General features: G+C 54.9%; 2 protein-coding genes and 1 pseudogene across 5 annotated transcripts in view, besides 7 other annotated features; 2 read left to right on the top strand and 1 right to left on the bottom strand.

Annotated features, from left to right (window-relative positions):
• SLC12A9 (solute carrier family 12 member 9) overlaps positions 1–656 on the bottom strand; it is a 40144-nt gene extending 39488 nt beyond the window's left edge. For all 3 annotated transcript variants that reach the window (XM_047420627.1, XM_047420628.1, NM_001363494.1), the window contains exon 1: positions 478–656. Coding sequence is in view for 1 of the 3 variants with exons in the window: in NM_001363494.1 (NP_001350423.1) it covers positions 478–496 (19 nt within the window). In the remaining 2 variants the exon portion in view is untranslated. The remainder of the gene's footprint in view (positions 1–477) is intronic.
• Positions 2–24960, top strand: EPHB4 (EPH receptor B4). 2 transcript variants are annotated; one of them, NM_004444.5, is made up of 17 exons: positions 2–546; positions 3252–3322; positions 3594–3881; positions 4858–5254; positions 7229–7384; positions 7636–7968; positions 8881–9005; positions 10168–10333; positions 13504–13606; positions 13809–13873; positions 14317–14430; positions 14531–14778; positions 19945–20160; positions 20956–21105; positions 21831–22024; positions 22204–22359; positions 23935–24960. In NM_004444.5, exons 1-17 carry the CDS (start codon positions 495–497, stop codon positions 24062–24064), a joined length of 2964 nt encoding a protein of 987 aa, NP_004435.3. In that variant the 5' UTR covers positions 2–494; the 3' UTR covers positions 24065–24960. The 2 variants fall into 2 exon arrangements, with proteins under 2 accessions (NP_004435.3, XP_016867305.1); XM_017011816.2 differs by having other exon boundaries at positions 8827–9005.
• Positions 6261–6498, top strand: RN7SL750P (RNA, 7SL, cytoplasmic 750, pseudogene; annotated as a pseudogene).
• Positions 11927–12426: an enhancer, noted in NCBI's record as "H3K4me1 hESC enhancer chr7:100412721-100413220 (GRCh37/hg19 assembly coordinates)". NCBI's record gives its function as "activates a minimal SCP1, AML or CMV promoter by ChIP-STARR-seq in naive H9 embryonic stem cells {active_cell/tissue: H9 hESC(naive)}" and the evidence as "EXISTENCE:reporter gene assay evidence [ECO:0000049][PMID:30033119]".
• Positions 20247–21446: an enhancer, noted in NCBI's record as "CDK7 strongly-dependent group 2 enhancer chr7:100403701-100404900 (GRCh37/hg19 assembly coordinates)". NCBI's record gives its function as "activates an origin of replication core promoter dependent on BRD2, BRD4, P300/CBP, MED14 and CDK7 cofactors, with strong dependence on CDK7, by STARR-seq in HCT116 cells {active_cell/tissue: HCT116}" and the evidence as "EXISTENCE:reporter gene assay evidence [ECO:0000049][PMID:35650434]".
• Positions 20247–22082: a biological region, named in NCBI's record as "CDK7 strongly-dependent group 2 enhancer GRCh37_chr7:100403701-100404900".
• Positions 21367–22082: an enhancer, noted in NCBI's record as "H3K27ac-H3K4me1 hESC enhancer chr7:100403065-100403780 (GRCh37/hg19 assembly coordinates)". NCBI's record gives its function as "activates a minimal SCP1, AML or CMV promoter by ChIP-STARR-seq in naive H9 embryonic stem cells {active_cell/tissue: H9 hESC(naive)}" and the evidence as "EXISTENCE:reporter gene assay evidence [ECO:0000049][PMID:30033119]".
• Positions 22083–22798: an enhancer, noted in NCBI's record as "H3K27ac-H3K4me1 hESC enhancer chr7:100402349-100403064 (GRCh37/hg19 assembly coordinates)". NCBI's record gives its function as "activates a minimal SCP1, AML or CMV promoter by ChIP-STARR-seq in naive H9 embryonic stem cells {active_cell/tissue: H9 hESC(naive)}" and the evidence as "EXISTENCE:reporter gene assay evidence [ECO:0000049][PMID:30033119]".
• Positions 24653–25355: an enhancer, noted in NCBI's record as "H3K27ac-H3K4me1 hESC enhancer chr7:100399792-100400494 (GRCh37/hg19 assembly coordinates)". NCBI's record gives its function as "activates a minimal SCP1, AML or CMV promoter by ChIP-STARR-seq in naive H9 embryonic stem cells {active_cell/tissue: H9 hESC(naive)}" and the evidence as "EXISTENCE:reporter gene assay evidence [ECO:0000049][PMID:30033119]".
• Positions 25356–26059: an enhancer, noted in NCBI's record as "H3K27ac-H3K4me1 hESC enhancer chr7:100399088-100399791 (GRCh37/hg19 assembly coordinates)". NCBI's record gives its function as "activates a minimal SCP1, AML or CMV promoter by ChIP-STARR-seq in naive and primed H9 embryonic stem cells {active_cell/tissue: H9 hESC(naive and primed)}" and the evidence as "EXISTENCE:reporter gene assay evidence [ECO:0000049][PMID:30033119]".

The raw sequence follows: 26059 nt of genomic DNA, 5'->3' as shown, positions 1-26059 counted from the left end.
CAGTTCCAGCGCAGCTCAGCCCCTGCCCGGCCCGGCCCGCCCGGCTCCGCGCCGCAGTCTCCCTCCCTCCCGCTCCGTCCCCGCTCGGGCTCCCACCATCCCCGCCCGCGAGGAGAGCACTCGGCCCGGCGGCGCGAGCAGAGCCACTCCAGGGAGGGGGGGAGACCGCGAGCGGCCGGCTCAGCCCCCGCCACCCGGGGCGGGACCCCGAGGCCCCGGAGGGACCCCAACTCCAGCCACGTCTTGCTGCGCGCCCGCCCGGCGCGGCCACTGCCAGCACGCTCCGGGCCCGCCGCCCGCGCGCGCGGCACAGACGCGGGGCCACACTTGGCGCCGCCGCCCGGTGCCCCGCACGCTCGCATGGGCCCGCGCTGAGGGCCCCGACGAGGAGTCCCGCGCGGAGTATCGGCGTCCACCCGCCCAGGGAGAGTCAGACCTGGGGGGGCGAGGGCCCCCCAAACTCAGTTCGGATCCTACCCGAGTGAGGCGGCGCCATGGAGCTCCGGGTGCTGCTCTGCTGGGCTTCGTTGGCCGCAGCTTTGGAAGGTGAGTTTCCTTGCGGGGGGGGGCGCACCCCGTCACTCCTGGGACCTCCCCCCCAACATCTGGGCCTCGGAGTGGAGGGGCCGGCCTCTGACTACCCCTACCCGGGCACTGCAGTCCCAAACACTTCGGACCGATAGTGCTGGAACGGGAGGGGGGCGGGGAAGAGGCGCCCGACGGGTAGTGGAGTTTTCTTTTGTTTGGGAAAGAGATGGAGTCTGGCTACGACCCGGGACATTCCCCTGCCCGGGCTCCCCGAACTCTCACTGCTGATTACATACGCCCCTGGCTGCCTTTCCTTTCCTCCCTACCCCACTATTCAAAACTATCTGCAAAGTTTCTGTCCCAGTCCCACCTCCCGCCGTACATGAGGGAAGGTTTCTGGAGAAGCAACAGCAGACAAGGCACAACTTTTCGTGCTAGGCCCTAAAACGACCCCCAGCGCCAATTCCTTAGCGATCACACCTTGATCCTCCAGTTCCACACTCCTGCAACAGGATGGCCTCCTTTGCATTCACACAGCAAACCCCCAAACCGCTCTCCCGCCCACTGCTCCTGCCCCTGGTATAGGGTGGCTCCTTGGTTTCTACAGGCTGCACCCCATCCCTTTAAATGCGGTCTAGACCCCGGCCCCAGGTGAGTCCCGGGCTTCCCTTGAGACCTAGGAGCGGGTAGAAACTGACCTACACAGCCCCCAGGTAGAAACTGACCTACACAGCCCCCACATCGCCCTAACTAACCCAGTCTATCTCCCACCTCCTGGTCTCTCCAAGCATTTCTTTGGCCATGGATCGCTGTCCCTCCTGGTCCCCTAAAGGGGGAGCCAAGAGCCCTAGAAACTCTCCTGTGTCCCTAATGTCCTTTCAGTGAGCTGCCAACACCCCCCTTTCTCTGTCTGGTATGAAAGTGGTTATGGGGCGGTAGGCTATGAGGGACTCCCAAAGGGAAGGATTCAGCGGCGTTAGAAAAACCCTCTCCCCCTGGCTGGGCAGGACTGCCCTGGGCTGGGGATCAAAGGCTAGGTGTGGGGTTGGGAGTGAGGGGAGGCTTGCCCAGCTCAGAGAACGGAGAAGGGGGAACAAAAACCATGAACGAGGGGAAGAGGAAGGCCAAAGGGGTGGAAAAACCACGAGGACGAGGTGTGGTGAGAAGGAAAGACGCAAAGAGGAAATGGTGATTGTGACACCTATTACCTGAGTGTTTCCAAGCACCAGGCCTGTGCTGAGCGCCTTACAAATATTAATTTCACCCATCCAGCAACGCTAAGGGTGGTGCTATTATTGCCCCCATTTTTCAGATGAGGAGGCTGGGGCTTAGTTAAGGTTAAGTAGTTTATCCAAGGCCCTGTGCCGCGAGGAACAGCGAGAAGTGGAGGCCGAAAGCGAAGGAGAGATAGTGACTGTCAGAAAGAGAAACGGAGGTGGACAGAGAGTGGAGGAGAGATAGGTGAGAGACATGCGAACTGACAGATCAAAGCGTGGCTGCAGCTGAGCTGGGACGCAGAAAGGGAGCCTGCGCTTGCTCTGGGCTGCGGACAGCCCGAGGCAGAGACAGTGTGTAAATTGGAGACAGGAAAACACTATCCCGGCTGGAACAATGGAGGGTGGAGACGGCAGCCTCTATCCACCCCCTTCCCAGAACCCGGGCATCCTGTCCCCAGTGAGCAGGGCTGTCTCTTGCCACCCATGGGGACCTTGCGCCTCTCACCTCAGGCTGGCTGGCTTCCCATCTGACCCCTAGCTGGAGGACATCATTTGGTCCCCAGGAAGAGGCTGCCTCACCCACCCTCTTTCTCTTCTCTCCTGCAGCTCCCATGGGGTGGGAGCCAGGTGTTCTGGCTCCCCTCTCCACCCTTCCCAGCGCCCAATGCCCCCCACATTGCCGGCCCCCGAGGGGATTCCTGTACCCTCCCTCCTCCACTCTCCACTGCCAGGGGCTGTGCAGTTTTTCCTAATCCCCCCCCTTCCTCCAGTGCCTGTCCCCTCCCCCGATGATCCGAGCCAAGCCAGGTGTGTTCACCCCTCCCATTCATACCGCCCCCCAGAATCTCCTCCCCTCTGCCTTCCCATAACCAAATCCAGATGTGAGGCCTCGGCGGGAGCCTGGGAACCCTAGCATCCCGACCTCCAGTGCTTCCTGATCAGGGCACTCGTGGGGAGGGAGGTACTGGGATGGGGGCCAGGGCTATGCCCCAGGCACGGAGCGCTCCCTTCAAGGAGGGAAGGACGGGGTGTTTGGTCTGAAAGCAGAGAGGGGTCTTGGACAGGGAATGAAATTGTGGGGTAGAGAGGCTGATTCTGGGACTTAGGGGAGGAAACGTGGAGGCTGAGACAAGAGGTTCCCCTCCCACACCAGCAGCCTCTGCTCGTGGGGGTCAGGACCAGGGCGCAGCTCTCATTTTAACCCTTTCTGAGCTGCCGCCCCTTCTCCCCGTACATTTTGATCTCCCTCCCTCCTCCAGGGAGGCCTAGATCTGGGGTATCCCAAGGGAGCCCCATGCCTACCAGATGTTGGGGGTGGGGTTGGCACTTAGCAGAAGAGGCCAGAAATCAGGCGGGTGCAGAGGGCAGGGCTTGCTCCCCTCTTGGCCCCCCAACTCCTCTAGCTCAGAGCTAAGAGGATCCACCTGCCTCGGTTCCCAGGGATCTGGTCTTCCTGACCTCCCTCCCCCACCCCAGGCACTGACTCTGTCTCTCTGTCTGTCTCAGAGACCCTGCTGAACACAAAATTGGAAACTGCTGATCTGAAGTGGGTGACATTCCCTCAGGTGGACGGGCAGGTGAGAGCTGCACCCAGGAGCTGGAGCTCTGGAGGGAAACTGAGGGAGGAGAGGGCGCCTGTGCCGCCTGCTTTCTGTGTGCCACTCCTCTCCCCTGTCCCCCCAGATGACAGCAGCCCCAGCAGTGTCGTCTGAGCCCTTCTCAGAGGCGCCCTCCTCGCAGTACCAGCAGCCCCCCTTTCTCAGTCCCTCTCACTTTATAGGATTCACCCCATGCAGCCCTCTCCCTGGCGGCTCCCCAGCCCCCTTGCTGACCTCCTTCTCTGCACAGTGGGAGGAACTGAGCGGCCTGGATGAGGAACAGCACAGCGTGCGCACCTACGAAGTGTGTGACGTGCAGCGTGCCCCGGGCCAGGCCCACTGGCTTCGCACAGGTTGGGTCCCACGGCGGGGCGCCGTCCACGTGTACGCCACGCTGCGCTTCACCATGCTCGAGTGCCTGTCCCTGCCTCGGGCTGGGCGCTCCTGCAAGGAGACCTTCACCGTCTTCTACTATGAGAGCGATGCGGACACGGCCACGGCCCTCACGCCAGCCTGGATGGAGAACCCCTACATCAAGGTACCTGGGTGCCCCCAGGGCTCAGCCACAGCCAAGGTGGGATTCCAGCCAGCAGGCCCGTGGCCTGGAGGGCAGCCGATGTAGTTGCGAGGCCTCTGGCCCGCGCGCTGGGGGCTGGAAGCAGGAGGCTTAGGTCTGGGGAGGGAAGGGGGTGATCTTCTGGGCGGAGGAGCAGAATATACGGGGGCTGCCTGGCCCGGCCCCCAGGGAGGCCCAAGGGTCAGGCTTCTCCTCCAGTCACCTCAACCACCCTACCCCACTGTGCTCCAGCCACACTGAGTTTCTCCCATTCCCTGACTGCACCTGGCTGGTTTCCAGCTCAAGACTTTGCAGCGGTGATGTCTCCACCTGGGGGCCTCTCTGCCTCTCACACCCCTACTTGTCTTCGGAGTTCCAGCTCCCGAGATCTTGCCTGTGCCACCTTGGCTGACTCTCTCCTCCCTACAATCCTGCATACCTCTGTCCACCTGCCTGTCTCGGCACTCATTTTACTTTATTTATTTTTCTTTTATATCTATATTTTTAAAGCGGGGTCTTCTACGTTACCCAGGCTGGTCTCTAACTCCTGGGCTCAAGAGATTTCTCCCACCTCGGCCTCCTAAAGTGCTGGGATTATAGGCATGAGGCACTACGCCCGGCCTCATGGTACTTTATAACTTCCCCAGGATTCATTCATCGCTGTCTCCTTGACTCTGAGGTCAAGGCCTGGCATGGCGTCAGTGTCAGTAAATGTTTGTAGAACGAGTGAATAAAAAGGGGGAGAGGTGCAGGCCAGAGGCCGGGCATATCGCAGGAGCTTTGCAAGGCTGAATGGACAGTGTGGGGGCCTGCAGAAAGTGTGCCCTGGGGAAGGTGGAGGGAAGATTCTGGAACGGGAACCAAGGAGGTCCGGGAGGGTGAGCTGGGAAGAACACAACAGTCCGCTGGGTCCTCAGGGAGTGGGGACAGCAGCGGTGTGCCTCCCCCCCGCCGGCAGGTGGACACGGTGGCCGCGGAGCATCTCACCCGGAAGCGCCCTGGGGCCGAGGCCACCGGGAAGGTGAATGTCAAGACGCTGCGTCTGGGACCGCTCAGCAAGGCTGGCTTCTACCTGGCCTTCCAGGACCAGGGTGCCTGCATGGCCCTGCTATCCCTGCACCTCTTCTACAAAAAGTGCGCCCAGCTGACTGTGAACCTGACTCGATTCCCGGAGACTGTGCCTCGGGAGCTGGTTGTGCCCGTGGCCGGTAGCTGCGTGGTGGATGCCGTCCCCGCCCCTGGCCCCAGCCCCAGCCTCTACTGCCGTGAGGATGGCCAGTGGGCCGAACAGCCGGTCACGGGCTGCAGCTGTGCTCCGGGGTTCGAGGCAGCTGAGGGGAACACCAAGTGCCGAGGTGAGAGCTGGAGCTTCCCCTGCGACTGCTGCTCATCCGGGGGAGAGTCCTGAACTCCACTCAGGACCCACTTCTTAAGTTTCCATTTTGTATAGTTAGATGTTGAAATGGAGGCTTGCTCTGTCACCCAGGCTGGAGTGCAGTGGCACAATCTCTGCTCAACTGCAACCTTTGCCTCCCGGGTCCCTGTTCAAGCAGTTCTCCTGCCTCAGCCTCGTGAGTAGCTGGGACTACAGGCACACGCCACCACGCCCGGCTAATTTTTGTATTTTAGTAGAGACGGGGTTTCGCCATGTTGGCCAGGCTGGTCTCGAACTCCTGACCTGAAGTGATTTGCCCGCCTCGGCCTCCCAAAGTGCTGGGATTACAGGCGTGCGTCACCACACCCAGCTGGAAAAAAAAAAGACTTTATTTTCACCTGAAATTCATTAATTTCCACTTGAAATTCCACCTGCAGTTGTAGCAGGACCTGACACTTGGGCCCCATGGAAATCACAGGTATTGCCTGACACAGTGGTTCATGCCCATAGTGCCAGCACTTTGAGATGCCAAGGTGGGAGGATCACTTGAGCCCAGGAGTTCGAGATCAGCCTGGGTGACAGAGCAAGACCCCGTCTCTAAAAAAAATTTTTTTTTTTTTTTCAAGACAGAGTCTTGCTCTGTCGCCCAGGCTGGAGTGCAGTGGTGCGATCTCGGCTCACTGCAAGCTCCGCCTCCCAAGTTAACACCATTCTCCTGCCTCAGCCTCCCGAGTAGCTGGGACTACAGGCCCCGCCACCACGCCCGGCTAATTTCTTGTATTTTTAGTAGAGATGGAGTTTCACCGTGTTAGCCAGGATGGTCTCGATCTCCTGACCTCATGATCTGCCCGCCTTGGCCTCCCAAAGTGCTGGGATTACAGGTGTGAGCCACCACACCCGGATTACAAAAACTTTTTAGATAATTATCTGGGCGACCTGCCTGACCAACATGGAGAAACCCTGTCTCTACTAAAAATACAAAATTAGCCGGACATGGTGGCGCATGCCTGTAATCCCAGCTACTTGGGAGGCTGAGGCAGGAGAATCATTTGAACCCAGGAAGCAGAGGTTGCGGTAAGCCGAGATCATGCCACTGCACTCCGGTCTGGGAGTGCACTCCAACAAGAAGGAGTTTCGCTCTTTTTGCCCAGGCTGGAGTGCAGTGGTGGGATCTCAGCTCACCGCAACCTCCACCTCCCGGGTTCAGGCGATTCTCCTGCCTCAGCCTCCCAAGGAGTAGCTGGGATTATAGGTATGCATCGTCACACCCGGCTACTTTTGTATTTTTAGTAGAGGCAGGTTTCCACCATGTTGGCCAGGCTGGTCTTGAACTCAAGTGATCTGCCCTCTTTGGCCTCCTTCTCAGGAAAAAAAAAAAATCACAGGTATTTACAGGCCATTCCAAGTGCCAAAAGATTGTTTTTGCTCATGGTGACTTCAGTATCACAGATGTTAGGAGACTTGCTGCTATATGTTAAGAAAGAAGCACAAATGTTGCTGTAGCCCAAACTTTTTTCCTCATGTTTCATTGCATTTCAGCTTAATTGGTTTCCCTGGTATTCCTATGTATTTTGTGGAGTGCTTTTAAAATCATAAGTTGGAGTAGAGGTCTTTCTGTGGGCTTCACCAGACTGCCGAGATCAGGGTCGAAACAGGTGAGGACCCCTTCTCTGGAGAGAGTCTCCTTTCTCCTCTAAGAGGAAAGGTTTTGAGATCTTTTGTCCATTTTCCCACCTTAGCACTTCATCAGCCTTAAAAGAAGCTGGAATTTTTTTTTTTTTTTTTGGAGATGGGATCTCGATATGTTGCCCAGGCTGGTCTTGAACCCCTTGGCTCAAGCGATCCTCCAGCCTCAGCCTCCCAAAGTGCTGGGATTCGAGGCATGAGCCACCGAGCCCACCGTGCAGATGGATGTTTTTGTGCATGCTTTTGATGAATGCTTTCTCTCTCTCAGCCTGTGCCCAGGGCACCTTCAAGCCCCTGTCAGGAGAAGGGTCCTGCCAGCCATGCCCAGCCAATAGCCACTCTAACACCATTGGATCAGCCGTCTGCCAGTGCCGCGTCGGGTACTTCCGGGCACGCACAGACCCCCGGGGTGCACCCTGCACCAGTAAGTGACCAGCACCCAGGTGCAGTTCACTGGGGAGGGGTCACAGACCTCTGAGGTGGACCCTCACATGGCCCCCATCCTCCCTGGGCTTCTTCCCTTTGTCCCTGGCATGCTTGTCCCTAGCCCGGAGGAACATGTGGAGCCCACTGTCTCCAAGGCAAGAGTCCAGCATGGCTGCTGGTGCCTCCATTGCCCTCTCCCCACCACCGCAGAGCAGGTCGGCCTCTGCCTGACTCCCTGGTCTCCTGCAGCCCCTCCTTCGGCTCCGCGGAGCGTGGTTTCCCGCCTGAACGGCTCCTCCCTGCACCTGGAATGGAGTGCCCCCCTGGAGTCTGGTGGCCGAGAGGACCTCACCTACGCCCTCCGCTGCCGGGAGTGCCGACCCGGAGGCTCCTGTGCGCCCTGCGGGGGAGACCTGACTTTTGACCCCGGCCCCCGGGACCTGGTGGAGCCCTGGGTGGTGGTTCGAGGGCTACGTCCTGACTTCACCTATACCTTTGAGGTCACTGCATTGAACGGGGTATCCTCCTTAGCCACGGGGCCCGTCCCATTTGAGCCTGTCAATGTCACCACTGACCGAGAGGGTGAGACTTGGGGGCTGGGGCGGCTGGTGGTCTGGCGGGAGAGATGTCACTGAGGGCCTGAAGGGGAGAGGCAGGGGCTGTGAAGTTGGGTACCCCGGAAGTGTGAGGGGCTAAGGCTTTGGGGGCAAGAGGCAGAAAGAGGGCAATGGCTGGGCGCAGTGGCTCACGCCTGTAATCCCAGCACTTTCAGAGGCTGAGACAGGCGGATCACTTGAGCCCTGGAGTTCAAGACCAGCCTGGGTAACATAGGAAGATCTCTCTACAAAAAATAAAAATATTAGCCAGGCGAGGTGGTGCATGCCTGTGGTCCCAGCTACTCAAGAGGCTGAGGCAGGAGGATTGCTTGAGCCCAGGAGTCGGAGGCTGCAGTGAGCTATGATCGCACCGCTGCATGCCAGCCTGGGTGACAGAGCAGTGTGAGATCCTCTCTCAAAATAAATGAATAAGAAAGAGAGGGTGAGGAGCTCGTAAAGCTGGGCTGGAGAGTTAAGTACAGGAAGGCCCCCAGTGGGACTGGGGCCAGAGAGAATCAGAAGGAATTCTCGAAACAGCCAGGGGGAAATTGAGACAAGTGTAGCCAGCAGAGGAAGTGTTGGAAAAGATAAGGGACATGGCCAGGCTGATCACAAGGTCAGGAGTTCAAGACTAGCCTGGCCAACGTGGTGAAACCCCATGTCTACTAAAAATAAAAAAATTAGCCAGGCATGGTGGTGGGCACCTGTAATCCACTTGGGAAGCAACCAGAAGAATTGCTTGAACCCAGGAGGCGGAGGTTGCAGTAAGCTGAGACTGCGCCACTGCACTCCAGCCTGGGTGATAGAGCACGACTCCGTCTCGAAAAAAAAAATTTTTTTTAAGTTAAGGGACAGAGCTACCATGCACAAGGGTTCCCTGTGTCTCTGCCTCTCACAGTACCTCCTGCAGTGTCTGACATCCGGGTGACGCGGTCCTCACCCAGCAGCTTGAGCCTGGCCTGGGCTGTTCCCCGGGCACCCAGTGGGGCTGTGCTGGACTACGAGGTCAAATACCATGAGAAGGTAAGGCCATCCCCCAGCCCTGGGGTGGGTGGGCAATGGGTTGTGCTCTCCTGGCTGGGACACCTGGGTTGCAGGCACCTGGCAGGCATTTGAATTCCAGCTCTGCCATGGATTCCCTGGGCAGCCTTGGGTAAGCCCCTTGGCCTGTCTGAGCCTCAGACTCTTCATCTATAAAATAGTTACTGTAATAGTTACCAGCAGCTGGACACAGTGGCTGAGGTTGGGTGCGGTGGCTCACGCCTGTAATACCAAGCACTTTGGGAGGCTGAGGCGGGCAGAATGCTTGAGCCTAGGAGTTTGAGACCAGCCTGGGCAACATGGTGAAACTTCATCTCTATAAAAAACTTAAAATGGGCCGGGCGCGGTAGCTTACGCCTGTAATCCCAGCACTTTGGGAGGCCGAGGTGGGCGGATCACAAGGTCAGGAGTATCGAGACCATCCTGGCTAACACGGTGAAACCCCATCTCTACTAAAAATACAAAAAATTAGCCAGGCGCGGTGGCAGGCGCCTGTAGTCCCAGCTACTCGGGAGGCTGAGGCAGGAGAATGGCGTGAACCCAGGAGGCGGAGCTTGCAGTGAGCCGAGATAGCGCCACTGCAGTCCGGCCTGGGCGAAAGAACAAGACTCTGTCTCCAAAAAAAAAAAAAAAAAAAAAAAACGCAAAAAATACTTAAAATGAAAAAAATTAGACTGGGCACAGTGGCTCATGCCTGTAATCCCGGCACTTTGGGAGGCCGAGGTGGGTAGAACACCTGGGGTGAAGAGTTCGAGACCAGCCTGGCCAACAAGGTGAAATCCCCGTCTCTACTACAAATAGCAAAATCAGCTGAGTGTGTTGGCGGGCCCCTGTAATCCCAGCTACTCAGGAGGCTGAGACAGGAGAATCACTGGAACCCAAGTGATTCTCGACTTGAGGTCGAGGCTGCAGTGAGTCGTGTTTGCACCATTGCATTCCAGCCTGAGAAAGTGAGACCTTGTCTTAAAAAAAAGGAATGATATTATGAATACAGCACATGGCTTGCATGCGTAAGTTCTCCCAAAGGCCTCACCAGTTGCAAGGCAGGCTAGTGATGGGAGTGGAGGGCGAGGGAAGGAGGCAGGAAGAGCAACAGGAACTTGGGTTCCCGGGTGACGGCCACCCCACTACCTCTCCCGGACAGGGCGCCGAGGGTCCCAGCAGCGTGCGGTTCCTGAAGACGTCAGAAAACCGGGCAGAGCTGCGGGGGCTGAAGCGGGGAGCCAGCTACCTGGTGCAGGTACGGGCGCGCTCTGAGGCCGGCTACGGGCCCTTCGGCCAGGAACATCACAGCCAGACCCAACTGGATGGTGAGCCTGGGGAAGGGGGTGAGGGTGGGGGTTGGAAAGACCCCCAAAGTTCCTGGGAAGACCCCAGGTCTCCAAAGTCCCATCATCTTTTTTTTTTTTTTTTTTTTTTGAGATGGAGTCTTGCTCTGTCCCTCAGGCTGGAGTGCAGTGGCACCATCTCCGCTCACTGCAACCTCCGCCTCCCGGATTCAAGCCATTCTCCTGCCTCAGCCTCCCGAGTAGCTGGGATTACAGGCGCCTGCCACCGCGCCTGGCCGATTTTTTGTATTTTTAGTAGAGACGGGGCTTCACCGCGTTGGCCAGGCTGGTCTCGAACTCCTGACCTTGTGATTCGCCCGCCTCGGCCTCCCGAAGTGCTGGGATTACAGGCATGAGCCACTGCACCCGGTCAAAGTCCTATCTTCATGTCCTTCTTCCTGTGGATCACATGGCATGCCCTAGAGAGGAGAGAACGTAAGATGTCGAAACCAAAACCAACAGCTGAGTTTTGTGAAGTCTGGCCTGCTTCACTCTGTACCCCCAGGCTGGAGCGCAGTTGCTCGATCAAAGCTCACTGCACAGCCAGGCACAGTGGCTCACCCTGTAACCCCAGCACTTTGGGAGGCTGAAGCAGGAGGATCACTTGAGGTCAGGAGTTCGAGACCAGTCTGACCAGCATGGTGAAACCGCGTCTCTACTAAAAATATAGAAGTTAGCTGAGCGTGGTGGTGCACACCTGTAATCCCAGCTACTCGGGAGGCTGAGGCAGGAGAATCGCTTGAACCTGGGAGGTGGAGGTTGCAGTGAGCTGAGATTGTGCCAGTGCACTCCAGCCTGGGCAACAGAGCAAGACTCTGTCTCAAAAAAAAAAAAGCTCACCGCAGGCTTGACTTTTAGCAACAACCTGACCCCTGAGCTCCCCATTCCCCATCCAACAAAATGGGAATATCATGAAGCTTCCTGCAGGGCTTTGAGGATTGGAGGTAACAGGTTATTTTTAATATGCTAGGCCAGTGGCTTTCTTTTTTCTTTCACATTTTTTTTTTTGAGACGGAGTCTCACTCTGTTGCCCAGGCTGGAGTGCGGTGGCGCGATCTCAGCTCACCGCAAGCTCCACCTCCTGGTCTCGATCTGCTGACCTCCTGATCCACCCGCCTCGGCTTCCCGAAATGCTGGGACTGCTGGCGTGAGCCACCACGCCCGGCCTAACTTTTTCTTTTTTTTAAGAGACACGGTCTTTTTTATCACCCAGGCTGGAGTGCGGTGGCACCATCATAGCTCATTGCAGCCTACAACTCCCGAGCTCAACCAATCCTTCCACCTTAGCCTCCCAAGTAGCTGGGGCTATAGGCATGTGCTACCGTGCTCAACTAAATTTTTTTTTATGTTTTGTTGAGACAGTTTCCCTATGTTGCCCAGGCTGGTCTCAAATTCCTGACCTCGAGCAATCCTCCCGCATCGGCCTCCCAAAGTGCTGGGATTACAGGCATGAGCCGCCACACCCAGCATTGGACCAGTGGCTTTCTAAACCTTGTAATTTTCTGTAATAGCTTTACTGAAATACAGTTCCCCTGCCATACAATTTGCCTGTTCAAAGTGTACAATCGATGACTTTTGATACATTCACAGAATTGTGCAGTCACCACCACAAGTAATTTTGGGACATTTTCAGCACCCTCAAAAGAGACCCTATAGCCCTTAGCCATCACCCCCCACCCAGATCTTTCTGTTGCCTTAGTCCCTGGCAAGCACTAACCCACTTTCTGTCTTGAAATCTTCCAGTGTGGTCTTTTGTGACTGTTCACCGAGCAGAATGTTTTCAAGGTTTATGTATGTTGTAGTATATATCCGTGGGTTTTTTTGGTTGTGGTTTGTTTTTTGTTTGTTTTGGAAACAGGGTCTCGCTCTGTCACCCAGGCTGGAGTGCAGTGGTTCAATTACAGCTCACTGCAGCCTCAACCTCCCAGGCTCAAGTGATCCTCCCACCTCAGCCTCCCAAGCAGCTGGGACTGTAGGCATGAGCCACCATGCCCAGCTAATTTTTTTTGGTATTTTTTGTAAAGACAGGGTTTCACCATGTTTCCCAGGCTGGTCTCGAACTCCTGAGCTCAGGCAATCCACCCACCTCAGCCTCCCAAAGTGCTGTGATTACAGGCATGAGCCACTGGACCTGGCCTGTTTTTTGTTTTTGTTTTGAACACACGATTTTGCTTTGTCACCCAGGCTGGAATGTAATGGTCTGATCATAGTGCATTGCAGCCTCAAACTCCTGGGCTCAAGCGATCCTCCTACCTCAGCCTCCTGAGTATCTGGGACCACACGTGCTCACCACCATGCTTGGCTAATTATTATTATTTTTTGATAGAGACGGGGTCTTGCTATGTTTCCCAGGCTGGTCTTGAACACCTGGCCTCACACAATCCTCCCACCTCAGTATCTCAGAGTGCTGGGATTACAGGCATGAGCCACTGCTCCTGGCCAATATTTCATTTCTTTTTATGGAGACGTAATAATCAGTTGTATGGAAATAGCTGATTTTGTTTTTTATTGTATCTTTTGGTGAACATTTCAATTGTATCGACTTTTTGGATAAAAACCTGAAAATGTTTCACCTTTAGAACGTTTCATTGAATGGAGATTTTTTTGTGGACTCTGGTATTTATACTAGAACCAAATCAAAACCACTCTGGCGGCTGGGCATGCCTAGGCTGGTTTGAGACTAGCCTGTCCAACCTGGTGAAAGCCCATCTCTACTAAAAATACACAAATTAGCCGAGCATGGTGGTACACACCTGTAATCCCAGCTACTCAGGAGGCTGAGGCAGGAGAATCGCAGAACCCGGGAGGCGGAGATTGCAGTGAGCTGAGATTGCGCCACTGCACTCCAGCCTGGGCGACAGAGTGAGACTGCGTCTCAAAAAAACAAACAAAAAATTACTCTGGCAGTAAGAAAAGATTTCGAAACTTCCTCCCTTGCCCTGAGGTACTTCAGAGGAGCCTGCTGGCCCCTGGGGGAGAGTTTGAAACCCACTGTTTGTTCCCTGACCTTGCCTGCTTGTGTCCTCTCCCTCCACCTGTCCCCTGTACTGGGGACCTGTTCTCAGGAGATCACAGTTCATTGCTCAAAGCCGGGGCTGGGGCCTCCTACAGGACCATCAGTTTCTCCTGATCAGCAGCCTTTCCTTCCGCAGAGAGCGAGGGCTGGCGGGAGCAGCTGGCCCTGATTGCGGGCACGGCAGTCGTGGGTGTGGTCCTGGTCCTGGTGGTCATTGTGGTCGCAGTTCTCTGCCTCAGGTAAGGGCTCTGACACCCAGAGGCCCCTGGAAGCCCTCAGTTGATGGCCACCTGCCTGGGTGCTACAGGACAAGCCTTTCTGGCTGTCCCCAGCCTCTTTTTACTTGAAATCTTCTCCAATCCCTGCTCCTTCCTTTGGTGTGTGTGCCTCATAAAGATGTGTGACTCAGTTTACCTTTTGTTCCTTTCCCATCGGCTACAGGAAGCAGAGCAATGGGAGAGAAGCAGAATATTCGGACAAACACGGACAGTATCTCATCGGACATGGTGGGTTGCCCTAATTTGATGGGAATAGGGGCTTGGGGCCGGGTGTGGTGGCTCCTATCTATAATCCCAGCACTTTGGGAGGCAGAGGTGGGCAGATCACTTGAGGTCAGGAGTTCGAGACCAGCCTGGCCAACATGTTGAAACTCCATCTCTATAAAAAATACATCAGTCAGCCAGGCATGGTGGTGGGCACCTGTAATCCCAGCTACTCAGGAGGCTGAGGCAGAAGAATCATTTTAACCCGGGAGGCGGAGATTGCAGTGAGCCAAGATCGCGCCACTGCGCTCCAGGCCTGGGTGACAGAGCGAGACTCCATCTCAGGAAAAAAAAAAAAAAAAAAAAAAACCACGGAGACAGGGGTTTGGGGCTAAAAGCTATGAGCCGAGCCTCCGAGTCCAGTGGGAGTTAATTCCCAGCTGACGGGGCCCTGCCTGATTTCTCAGGTACTAAGGTCTACATCGACCCCTTCACTTATGAAGACCCTAATGAGGCTGTGAGGGAATTTGCAAAAGAGATCGATGTCTCCTACGTCAAGATTGAAGAGGTGATTGGTGCAGGTGAGAGCCGAAGGCTGCCCGGGCACCTGGGAACGAAGCGGGGGTGGGCAGGGCCACACTGGAGCGGGAGAGCTGATGACCTCTGCGTCCTTGTTTGAAGGTGAGTTTGGCGAGGTGTGCCGGGGGCGGCTCAAGGCCCCAGGGAAGAAGGAGAGCTGTGTGGCAATCAAGACCCTGAAGGGTGGCTACACGGAGCGGCAGCGGCGTGAGTTTCTGAGCGAGGCCTCCATCATGGGCCAGTTCGAGCACCCCAATATCATCCGCCTGGAGGGCGTGGTCACCAACAGCATGCCCGTCATGATTCTCACAGAGTTCATGGAGAACGGCGCCCTGGACTCCTTCCTGCGGGTGAGCACCCTCCCTGGCTTCTGCGGCCACCCGGAGTTCCCACTTACACCCAGAGGCCACTTGGGTTAAGAAGCCAGGACAGACAGTGGGTCCCAGGTCACCTCCTCCAGCCTTTTCCTCTTGGGCTAAGCCCTGGTCCTCTGCCTTTTCTTTTTTTTAAGACAGAGCCTCGCTCTGTCGCCCAGGCTGGAGTGCAGTGGCGCGATCTCGGCTCATTGCTGTCTCCACCTCCAGGGTTCAAGCGATTCTCCTGCCTCAGTCTCCCAAGTAGCTGGTACTATAGGCATGCACCACCATGCTGACTAATTTTTGTATTTTTAGTAGACACAGGGTTTCACCATGTAGGCCAGGCTGGTATCAAACTCCTGACCTCAAGTGATCTCCCCACCTCAGCCTCCCAAAGTGCTGGTATTACAGGTGTGAGGCACCACGCCTGGCCAGCCCTCTGCCTTTAATTTTCCCTCTGGGAAAGGCTGGGCTCCTGGGACCTTCCTTTCCCACTGCCCCATACAGCTGAAGGTTGTCATTCCTTCTTTTTTTTTTTAATTTTGTTTTAATTGAATTTTTTTTTTTTGAGATGGAGTTTCACTCTTGTTGCCCAGGCCGGAGTGCAATGGCAAGATCTTGGCTCACCGCAACCTCCGCCTCCCAGGTTCAAGCGATTCTCCTGCCTTAGCCTCCCCAGTAGCTGGGATTATAGGCATGTGCCACCACGCTTGACTAATTTTGTATTTTTAGTAGAGACGGGGGTTTCTCTGTGTTGGTCAGGCTGGTCTCGAACTCCCGACCTCAGGTGATCCGCCTGCCTCGGCCTCCCAAAGTGCTGGGATTACAGACGTGAGCCACCGCGCCCGGCCAATTTTTTTTTTTTTTTTTTAAGACAGAGTCTCACTCTGTCCTCTAGGCTGGAGTGCAGTGGTGCATTCATAGCTCACTGTAGCCTTGACCTCCTGGGCTCAAGTGATCCTCCCGCCTCAGCCTCCTGAGTAGCTGGAACTACACTCATGTACCACCATGCTCAGCAAATTTTTAAAATTTTTTGTAGAGACAGGATCTCGATAGGTTGCCCAGGCTGGTCTGAACTCCTGGCCTCAAGCGAGCCTCCCTCCTCAGCCTCCCACAGCACTGGGATTGCAGGCATGAGCCACTGTGCCTGGCCTGTCATTCCTTCTTTTGACAAATATTTACTGAGTGCTTTCTACGCACCGGTCATCCTCCCAGTCCCCAGGAATAAAGCTATACACACGGCAAACTGGATTTCTCCTCTTGGGGAGCAGAGGGTCTAATGGGGCAGGGGGACTGAAAATTAGCAAGTAAATAGACAGGCTTTTTAAAAAAGTAAACAAATCATTTCAAATGTGAAAAAAAGCAAACGGGGTCCTTCATGCAGATGTGGCTAGAGAGGAAAGAGAACTGCTTAATTTATTTGGTCACTTTACCAGATTTTACTGACTTTTTTTTTTTTTTTAACTTTATTAAGCTTTTCTTTTTTCTTGAGATGGAGTTTCCATCTGTCACCCAGGCTGGAGTGCAGTGGTGCGTTCTTGGCTCACCGCAACGTCCACCTCCTGGGTTCAAGTGATTCTCCTGCCTCAGCCTCCTGAGTAGCTTGGAATTGCATGGCATGCACCACCATACCCAGCTGATGTTTGTATTTTTAGTAGAGACAGGGTTTCATCATGTTGCCCAGGCTGGTCTTGAACTCCTGGGCTCAAGTGATCCACCCATCTCGGCCCCTCAAAGTGCTGGGATTACAGGCATGAGCCACCATGCCTGGCCTAGGCATCTTTTTAAAAAAATCAAAACATTTTTCTATGTAGCAAAATAACATTGCATTGAACAGAGTTATAGCGATTCCCTAGCGTCATTGAATACCCAGTTGATTTTCACGTTTCTCTAGTTGTTCTAAAGATGTCCTTCACTGCTGCTTTATTCCAACCAGGATCCAGTTCAAGACCGGGCTTTGTACCTGGTTATTATATATATTTTATTTATTTATTTTAGAAACAAGGTCTTGCCCTTTCGCCCAGTTTAGAGTGCAGTGGTGCAATCATAGCTCACTGCAGCCTCCAAACTCCTTGGCTCAGGTGATCCTCCTGCCTCAGCCTCCTGGGTAGCTGGAACTACAGGTGCACACCACCACACCTGGCTAATTTTTAAATTTTTTACGGAGATGGGGGTCTCGCTATGTTGCCCAGGCTGGTCTCAAACTCCTGGACTCAAGCGATCCTCCCTCCTTAACCTCTCAAAGTGCTGGGATTACAGGCGTGAGCCACCACGCCTGCTGATTATTATATTTTCGAGCCTCTCTAAATCTTGAGCAGTTCCTCATGATGACACTGACACACTGAAGGGTTAGGTCCCTTGTCCGCCTGAATGTCTTGATTTCTGGATTTATGAAATTCTTCTTATGGGATCATTTAGCTTGTCTCTCTGTATTTCCTGTAAGAGAAGCTCTATCTGATGTGGGGTTTTTTTGGTTTTGTTTGTTTGTTTTTTGAGATGGAGTCCTGCTGTCGCCCAGGCTGGAGTGCAGTGGCACAATCTCGGCTCACTGCAACCTCCGCCTCCTGGGTTCAAGAGATTCTTCTGCCTCAGCCTCCTGAGTAGCTGGGACTACAGGCGAGTGCCACCATGCCCAGCTAATTTTTGTATTTTTAGTAGAGACAGGGTTTCACCATATTGGCCAGGATGGTCTCGAACTTCTGACCTCGTGATCTGCCCACCACCTCAGCCTCCCACAGTGCTGGGATTACAGGCATGAGCCACTATGCCCGGCTAATTTTTGTATTTTTAGTAGAGACAGGGCTTCGCCATGTTGGCCAGGCTGATCTGAAACCCCTGGCCTCAAGCCATCCACCCTCCTTGGCCTCCCAAAGTGCTGGGATTAAACGCGTGAGCCACCGTGCCTGGTCGAAGAGACAGAAAGGGTCTTAAAGGTTCAGTGACACACACCTGTAATCCCAGCACTTTGGGAAGCTGAGGCTGGTGGATCACTCGAGGCCAGGAGTTAGAGATCACCCTGGGCAACATGGTGAAACCCCGTCTCTACACAAAATACAAAAATGGGCAGAGCATGATGGTGCATATCTGTAGTCCCAGCTACTCGGGAGGCTGAGGCGGGAGGATCACTTAAGCCTGGGAGATCGAGGCTGTAGTGAGCCATCATTGCACTACTGCATTCCAGCCTGGGCGATCCCATCTCTTAAAAAGAGAGAGAGATGGGAAGACCAGCACAGGTGAAACTGGTGAACAGAGGAGAGATGGTAGATGCTGCATTGGGCAGTGTGACGGGAACCCGCTGGAGGGCTTTGGCAGGAGAGTAGTTTAAGAGGATCCCAGCTGGGCACAGTGGCTCACACTTGTGATCCCAGCACTTGGGGAGGCCGGGGCAGGTGGATCACTTGAGGTCAGGAGTTCGAGACCAGCCTGGCCAACATGGTGAAACCCTGTCTGTACTAAAAATACAAAAACCAGCCAGGCATGGTGGTGCACCCCTGTAATCCCAGCTACTCAGGAGACTAAGACAGGAGAATCGCTTGAACTCAGGAGGCAGAGGTTGCAGTGAGCCAAGATCACGCCACTTTACTCCAGCCTGGGCAGTAGAGCGAGACTCCATCTCAAAAAAATAAATAAATAAAAAGACCTCTTTGCTGGGTGCTAGGGAGCAAGAGCAGGAGCTGGGAGAGGCCTGCAGCAGAAGCCTGTTGCCAGCATCCAGGCCGTGGGGTGAAGGGAAGGGTTTGGATTTGGGACATGTCTTGGAAGCATCACCAGCAGAACTTGCTGATGGATTGGAAGTGGCTGGTGAGGGAGAAAAGGGGGTCAAAGGAAACTCTGAGGTCTATACCCTGACCATCTGGCAAGTGGTGGTGTTGCCACAAACTGAGCGGGGAGTAGGGCAGGTGCAGGTCTGGAGGATGGATTCAAAATTCAGTTTTTGGAGTCTATGTCCCTGGTTCTGTAGGGCTGCAGATGGTCTGCCAAATCTTAGCGGAACCCAGAATACGGGATTTGTTTACTGTCTGTGACTTGTTGGTTTCCCTGGTGAGAGCAAACTCTTTAAAGGTCAAGGTTGGGCTTCAGACCTTGGTTTTTGCACCGATCATTGGTCATACTGCAGTTCCTCACTCTTCTCTTGCAAATCCATACACAGCTAGTCCAAGAGAGCTGAACAGCTTTGTGGTTGGATCAGCACCAATGTATCTCCACCTGTAGACGGGTTGCTCAGGTGACTCATGCCTGTAATCCCAGCACCTTGGGAGGCCAAGGTGGGAAGATTGCTTGAGGCCAGGAGTTGGAGACAAGCCTGGGAAACACAGTGAGACCCCATATCTACCAAAAAAACCCCTTTGTTTTAATTAGCCAGGTGCAGTGGTGTGCACCTATAGTCCCAGCTACTAAGGAGGCTGAGGCAGAAGGATCATTTGAGCCCAGGAGTTTAAGGCTGCGGTGAACCATGATCGTGCCACTGCACTCCAACCTGGGGGAAAGAAAGAGACCTTGTCTCTAAAAAAACTAAAAAACAGAAAAGCATTTGTTGAGTATTTCCTGGGTATAAAGCAGTGTACCAGGTTAAATGGAAGGAAAAGTTGAAATAATTTTTCAACTCATAATCCGATTGGGAGAGACTGAATGCTTACCATTGAAGCAGGAACCATTGTAAGCAATGTGTTGTGATACTGTAGCAAGAGCTGAGAAAACTTGGGAAAAGAGAAAGGAGGAAGGCTCACCTGAGGGAGTTGGGGGGCTTGCCCTACAGGTGAGTTGTGAGGTGGGTCTGGAAGTGACAGATGCAGTTTAGGAAGTGGACGGGAGGCTGGGTACGGTGACTCAACATCTGTAATCCCAGTGCTTTGGGAGACCCAGGCGGAAGGATCGCTTCAGGCCAGGAGTTAAAGACCAGCCTGGGCAACATAGTGGGAACCTATCTCTACTAAAAATTAAAAAATTATCCAGGCATAATGGCACATGCCTATTGTTCCAGCTACTCAGGAGGCTTGCCTGAGCCCAGGAGGTTGAGGCTGCAGTGAGCTATGATGGCACCACTGCACTCCAGCCTGGGCGACAGAACAAGACCCTGTCTCTAAAAAAAAAAGATGTGGATGGGAGGGGGAACGGTGGGTGGGCTGTCCTCACCAAGCCCCCACCCTATCTGCTCTCCAGCTAAACGACGGACAGTTCACAGTCATCCAGCTCGTGGGCATGCTGCGGGGCATCGCCTCGGGCATGCGGTACCTTGCCGAGATGAGCTACGTCCACCGAGACCTGGCTGCTCGCAACATCCTAGTCAACAGCAACCTCGTCTGCAAAGTGTCTGACTTTGGCCTTTCCCGATTCCTGGAGGAGAACTCTTCCGATCCCACCTACACGAGCTCCCTGGTAATGCTGGGGGTAATACTGGGTGTGAGCTTCTTAGGGCCAGGTGGGCAGGGCAGGTTGGAAAGGTGGGAGGCTGAGGGTTTGGCAGCCCTGCTCCAGGGAGAGGATACAGGAGCAGGCTGTGGGTGGGGGGACAGTCAGCTCCAGGAAGCCGACTTCCAGATGTCTAGGAAAATAACAGTTGGATAACCTGGGCAACATAGCAAGACCCCATCTCTACAAAAAAATTAAAAGATTAGCCAGGCGCAGTGGCATGCACCTGTAGTCCCAGCTACTTGGGAGGTTGAGGCAGGAGGATTGCTTAAGCCCAGGAGTTGGAGGCTGCAGTGAGCTATGAATGTGCCACTGTACTGCAGACTGGGCGACAGAGCAAGACCCTGTCTCAAAAGAACAGTGGCCAGGTGTGGTGGCTCACGCCTGTAAATCCAGCACTTTGGGAGGCTGAGGCAGGAGGATCGCCTGAGGTCAGGAGTTCGAGACCAGCCTGGCCAACATGGGAAAACCCTGTCGCTACTAAAAATACAAAATTAGCTGAGGGTGGTGGTACACGCCTGTAATCCGAGCTACTCAGGAGGCTGAGGTAGGAGAACCAGTTGAACCCGGGAGGCGGAGTTTCAGTGAGCCAAGATCGCACCACTGCACTCCAACCTGGGCAAACAGAGTTGGAGAGTAGGAGGCTTGGGGCCTGAGCTAGGGGGAAAAAGCAGAGGCAGGTGGGGGACTGGGGGGCAGTGTGCTGGGTCTGGTGAGTCCCTCAGTGAGTCCCCCAGCTCACCTTTTCTCCTTTTTCTGCAGGGAGGAAAGATTCCCATCCGATGGACTGCCCCGGAGGCCATTGCCTTCCGGAAGTTCACTTCCGCCAGTGATGCCTGGAGTTACGGGATTGTGATGTGGGAGGTGATGTCATTTGGGGAGAGGCCGTACTGGGACATGAGCAATCAGGACGTAAGTGTCCCGTGGTCCTACCAAGCTTTCCTCGAGTGTTCTCTCACCTGGGATTTGGGGTGAAGGGTGGGTTCCCAGAGAGTCATCACTGCTGGGTTCTTGAGACCATGGAGATGACAAAAAGGAGAATTGATCTTTGTATCAAAGAGTTGAGATACAGGGCCAGGCCTAGTGGCTCAAGCCTGTAATCCCAGCACTTTGGGAGGCCAAGGTGGGCAGATCACCTAAGGTTAGGAGTTCAAGACCAGCCTGGCCAACATGGTGAAACCCCGTCTCTAAAAAAATACAAAAAATTAGCCCAGCATGATGGGCGGGTGCCTGTAATCCCAGCTACTCAGGAGGCTGAGACAGGATAATCGCTTGAACCCAGGAACAGAGGTTGCAGTGAGCTGAGATCACGCCATTGCTTTCCAGCCTGGGCAACTGAGCGAGACTCTGTCTTAATAAATAAATAAAAGAGTTGGGTACAGCATATTTGGGTCGCAGAAGGATGCAGAGATGGAGGGCAGGGTTGAGAGGTAACATGTCTGTATCATAGCCCAAGAGCTGCTGGGGCCTTCAGCCACAGAGAGCTTCAACTCCGGCTAGGAGGATTCCTGGATCTGTTATTTTTTGGGGGGCTGTGGCTCCTATCCTACCATCTTCCAAGTCACCATTTCCTGGGCCTGTTAGCATCTTTGCTTTTCCTGGACAGCCTCACCCAGAGCTTCTTCCCCTCTTTCCAGGTGATCAATGCCATTGAACAGGACTACCGGCTGCCCCCGCCCCCAGACTGTCCCACCTCCCTCCACCAGCTCATGCTGGACTGTTGGCAGAAAGACCGGAATGCCCGGCCCCGCTTCCCCCAGGTGGTCAGCGCCCTGGACAAGATGATCCGGAACCCCGCCAGCCTCAAAATCGTGGCCCGGGAGAATGGCGGGTGAGGACTGCAGAGAATGGGCCCTCCTTCCCGCTCTCTGCCCCCACTCCTTGCCCAGAAGTGTCCGTTCATTGGTGTTGGGTGGGAGGGCCTCTGTCCGCCTCTGCAAGGCTGGGTTCCACCTCCTCCCCCGGACCTGGGCCTGGTACTCAGCATTCCTCCCCATCCTTGCCCCCTAGGGCCTCACACCCTCTCCTGGACCAGCGGCAGCCTCACTACTCAGCTTTTGGCTCTGTGGGCGAGTGGCTTCGGGCCATCAAAATGGGAAGATACGAAGAAAGTTTCGCAGCCGCTGGCTTTGGCTCCTTCGAGCTGGTCAGCCAGATCTCTGCTGAGTAAGCAGTGGCAGGAGCTGGAGTGGGGCTGGGAGAGCGGGGCAGCTGGAGTCAGGCCCACGGGGTCTCCAGGGGCTTTTGGGGTCAGCTTCGGGTGCCAATGCTGTCTTCTTGCACTGCGCTCATGCCATGCCTAGAAGGGCCCCAGAGGAGCAGTCACAGCCCCATGGAGCTGAGGACCCAAGGACTCTTTGGGGCCAGCCTGCCCGCCTCACCTCCTCCTGCCATCACAGCCCTGGGCCATCGCGCTTCCGCCTCTCACTTCTAGCTATCTTTGTGCATCTATCTGCATTCCAGGCCCGGCTCTCACGGTAACAATGTGTCAACTCGGGTTCTCTTTTTCCAACCATAAAAGGAGAAGATTGGGCTAGGTTTTGGAGATCCTCTTCAGCTTTTATGTGAAATGGTTTTATGATTCCTTGCCTCCCAAAGGCTGCGTATCCCCACTTGGCCTTTGTCTGCTACTCCCCCTTTCTGCCTTCCCGTTCCTCTCCCAAGATCTCCTCTCACCCCAGGTTGAATAACAGAAATAGAAGGAATAGAAATCTGAAGGCCGGGCATGGTGGCTCATGCCTGTAATGCCAGCACTTTGGGAGGCCGAGGTGGGCAGATCACTTGAGGTTAGGAGTTCGAGACCATTGTGGACAACTTGGTGAAACCTTATGTCTACTAAAAATACAAAAATTAGCTGGGCATGGTGGTGCGTGCCTGTAATACCAGCTACTGAGGAGGCTGAGGCAGGAGAATCGCTTGAACCCGGGAGGTGGAGGTTGCAGTGAGCCGAGATCGCACCACTGCACTCCAGCCTGGATGACAGAGTGAAATTCCATCTCAAAAAAAAAAAAAAAAAAAAAAAAGAAATGTGAAGGCCAGGTGGTGGCTCACGCCTGTAATCTCAGCACTTTGGGAGGCTCAGGTGGACCGATTGCTTGAGCCCAGGAGTTTGAGAGCAGCCTGGCCAAAATAGCAAAACCCCATCTCTACAAAACAAAAACAAAAAAATTAGCTGGGCATGGTGGTGCGTGCCTGTGGTCCCAGCTACTCAGGAGGCTAGAGCCAGAGGGTCTCAGGCCAGTCTGCCCCTGCCCCACGGGGCCTGGGCACATCCCTCCCTAATTCTTCCCAGCCTCTCTCTGACCCAGGGGGCCTCCTCTCCCTTTTTTCCCCTTATCTCAGCCTCCAGCCATCAGCAACCTCCTCTTCCTCTCCACCCAGCTCTTCCTCTCCCACTTCGGCCTTTTCTTTCTCACACTCCATTTCCCTCTACGGCAATCTGTGCAGCCTCTTCCCCCAGTCTCATTTTGCGGGCTTTTCTCTCTTTTCTTTCCTTCCCTGGCACCCAAGCCAAAGGCCCTGCCTCTGGCCTCCAGCCCTACCCCCTTCTGCGGTTGCACAGAAGGATGGCTGCCCAGCTCTTAAAAAAACTGCCCGGGAACTGTTGACATCTGTTCTCCCTCCCCCGCTGGCTTTTCTGATTGGCTTACAATCCTGAGGCTAGGACCGTCTCAGGAGCCAAGAGAGGAGAGCGGCCACAGGGAACCTAGGGTCTCACCAAGCTCTCCTTTCCTTCTGCAGGGACCTGCTCCGAATCGGAGTCACTCTGGCGGGACACCAGAAGAAAATCTTGGCCAGTGTCCAGCACATGAAGTCCCAGGCCAAGCCGGGAACCCCGGGTGGGACAGGAGGACCGGCCCCGCAGTACTGACCTGCAGGAACTCCCCACCCCAGGGACACCGCCTCCCCATTTTCCGGGGCAGAGTGGGGACTCACAGAGGCCCCCAGCCCTGTGCCCCGCTGGATTGCACTTTGAGCCCGTGGGGTGAGGAGTTGGCAATTTGGAGAGACAGGATTTGGGGGTTCTGCCATAATAGGAGGGGAAAATCACCCCCCAGCCACCTCGGGGAACTCCAGACCAAGGGTGAGGGCGCCTTTCCCTCAGGACTGGGTGTGACCAGAGGAAAAGGAAGTGCCCAACATCTCCCAGCCTCCCCAGGTGCCCCCCTCACCTTGATGGGTGCGTTCCCGCAGACCAAAGAGAGTGTGACTCCCTTGCCAGCTCCAGAGTGGGGGGGCTGTCCCAGGGGGCAAGAAGGGGTGTCAGGGCCCAGTGACAAAATCATTGGGGTTTGTAGTCCCAACTTGCTGCTGTCACCACCAAACTCAATCATTTTTTTCCCTTGTAAATGCCCCTCCCCCAGCTGCTGCCTTCATATTGAAGGTTTTTGAGTTTTGTTTTTGGTCTTAATTTTTCTCCCCGTTCCCTTTTTGTTTCTTCGTTTTGTTTTTCTACCGTCCTTGTCATAACTTTGTGTTGGAGGGAACCTGTTTCACTATGGCCTCCTTTGCCCAAGTTGAAACAGGGGCCCATCATCATGTCTGTTTCCAGAACAGTGCCTTGGTCATCCCACATCCCCGGACCCCGCCTGGGACCCCCAAGCTGTGTCCTATGAAGGGGTGTGGGGTGAGGTAGTGAAAAGGGCGGTAGTTGGTGGTGGAACCCAGAAACGGACGCCGGTGCTTGGAGGGGTTCTTAAATTATATTTAAAAAAGTAACTTTTTGTATAAATAAAAGAAAATGGGACGTGTCCCAGCTCCAGGGGTGATGGGGGTGATGGACTAGATTTCTAAGGAGAGTGGGGCTGGGTAGGGAGGGCTTTGTGGCTGACCGAGAGGTGTCAGAGGTCTGGAGGCTGCAGGGCTGTAGGGGCTGGAACTTGGTTATCAGCCCCAGGGTATGTTTGAGGTGGTGGGGTGGGGGCCGAGCGAGATGAATCATTCGCAGCTGCTTCTAACGTCTCCAGCTGGCTCTGCCAAGAGCCTGGGGCACCTCCGGGGTGGGGCTGTCCCCTCCCTCCCCTGTCCTGGTTCCTCAGTCCTGGCCAGAGGCTGCTGCAGGAGAGGGAGGGAAGGCCTTGAGCTCCCAGCCCTGCCCGACAGCCACTGGAGAGGGAGGCTGGGGCAGGAGCTGGAGCAGGGGGTTCCGTGGATGGACACAGATGGGGGCCAGATGTTGACAGCTGGGGTAGATTTAGAGGCAGTGCGGGGAGAGTGTCTGCATTGGCTGTGGGGGAAGGGAAGAAGGGACCCCCCCACGTGTGTACACAAGCGATAAGCGCGCGCCGAGGACAATTCTCCCATTCAAGATGCTGCCCGGGCAGGTTCTCCCTGCCTCTTGGAAAGGGGAGGGGGAACCTCCTGTCTTCCCCCAACTTACCCCTCCAAATGCCCCGCTTTCTTTCTTGCCATTTTCTGTGTCCTTTTCTCCAGGGATCTTTCTGGCCTCCCCCCGGGCACCTGCAGGGGCAGGTCTTGACAAGGACCAGCCTGGCTTAACCTGGTCCATTGCTTTTTCTTTTTCTTTTTCTTTTTTTTTTTTTTTTTTTTTTTTTTTTTGAGACAGGGCCTCACTCTGTCACTCAGGCTGGAGTGCAGTGGAATGATCATAGTTCACTGTAACCTTGAACTCCTGGGCGCAAGGGATCCTCCCATCTCAGCCTCCCGAGTGGCTGGGAATCCTCCAGGCACACACTACCACACCCAGCTGATTTTTTTTATTTTTTGTAGAGACGGGTTGGGGGGGGTCTCACAATGTTGCCCAGGCTGATCTCAAACTCCTGGCCTCAAGCTATCCTCCCCTCCCAGCCTCCCAAGGTACTAGGATTACAGGCGTGAGCCACCGCGCCCAACCTTTTTCCATTTC

This window comes from Homo sapiens, chromosome 7 (genome assembly GCF_000001405.40).
Source record: "Homo sapiens chromosome 7, GRCh38.p14 Primary Assembly".
NCBI lineage: Eukaryota > Metazoa > Chordata > Mammalia > Primates > Hominidae > Homo > Homo sapiens.
The sequence above is the reverse complement of the archived record's forward strand: the minus strand, read 5'-3'. Positions and strand labels throughout refer to the sequence as shown.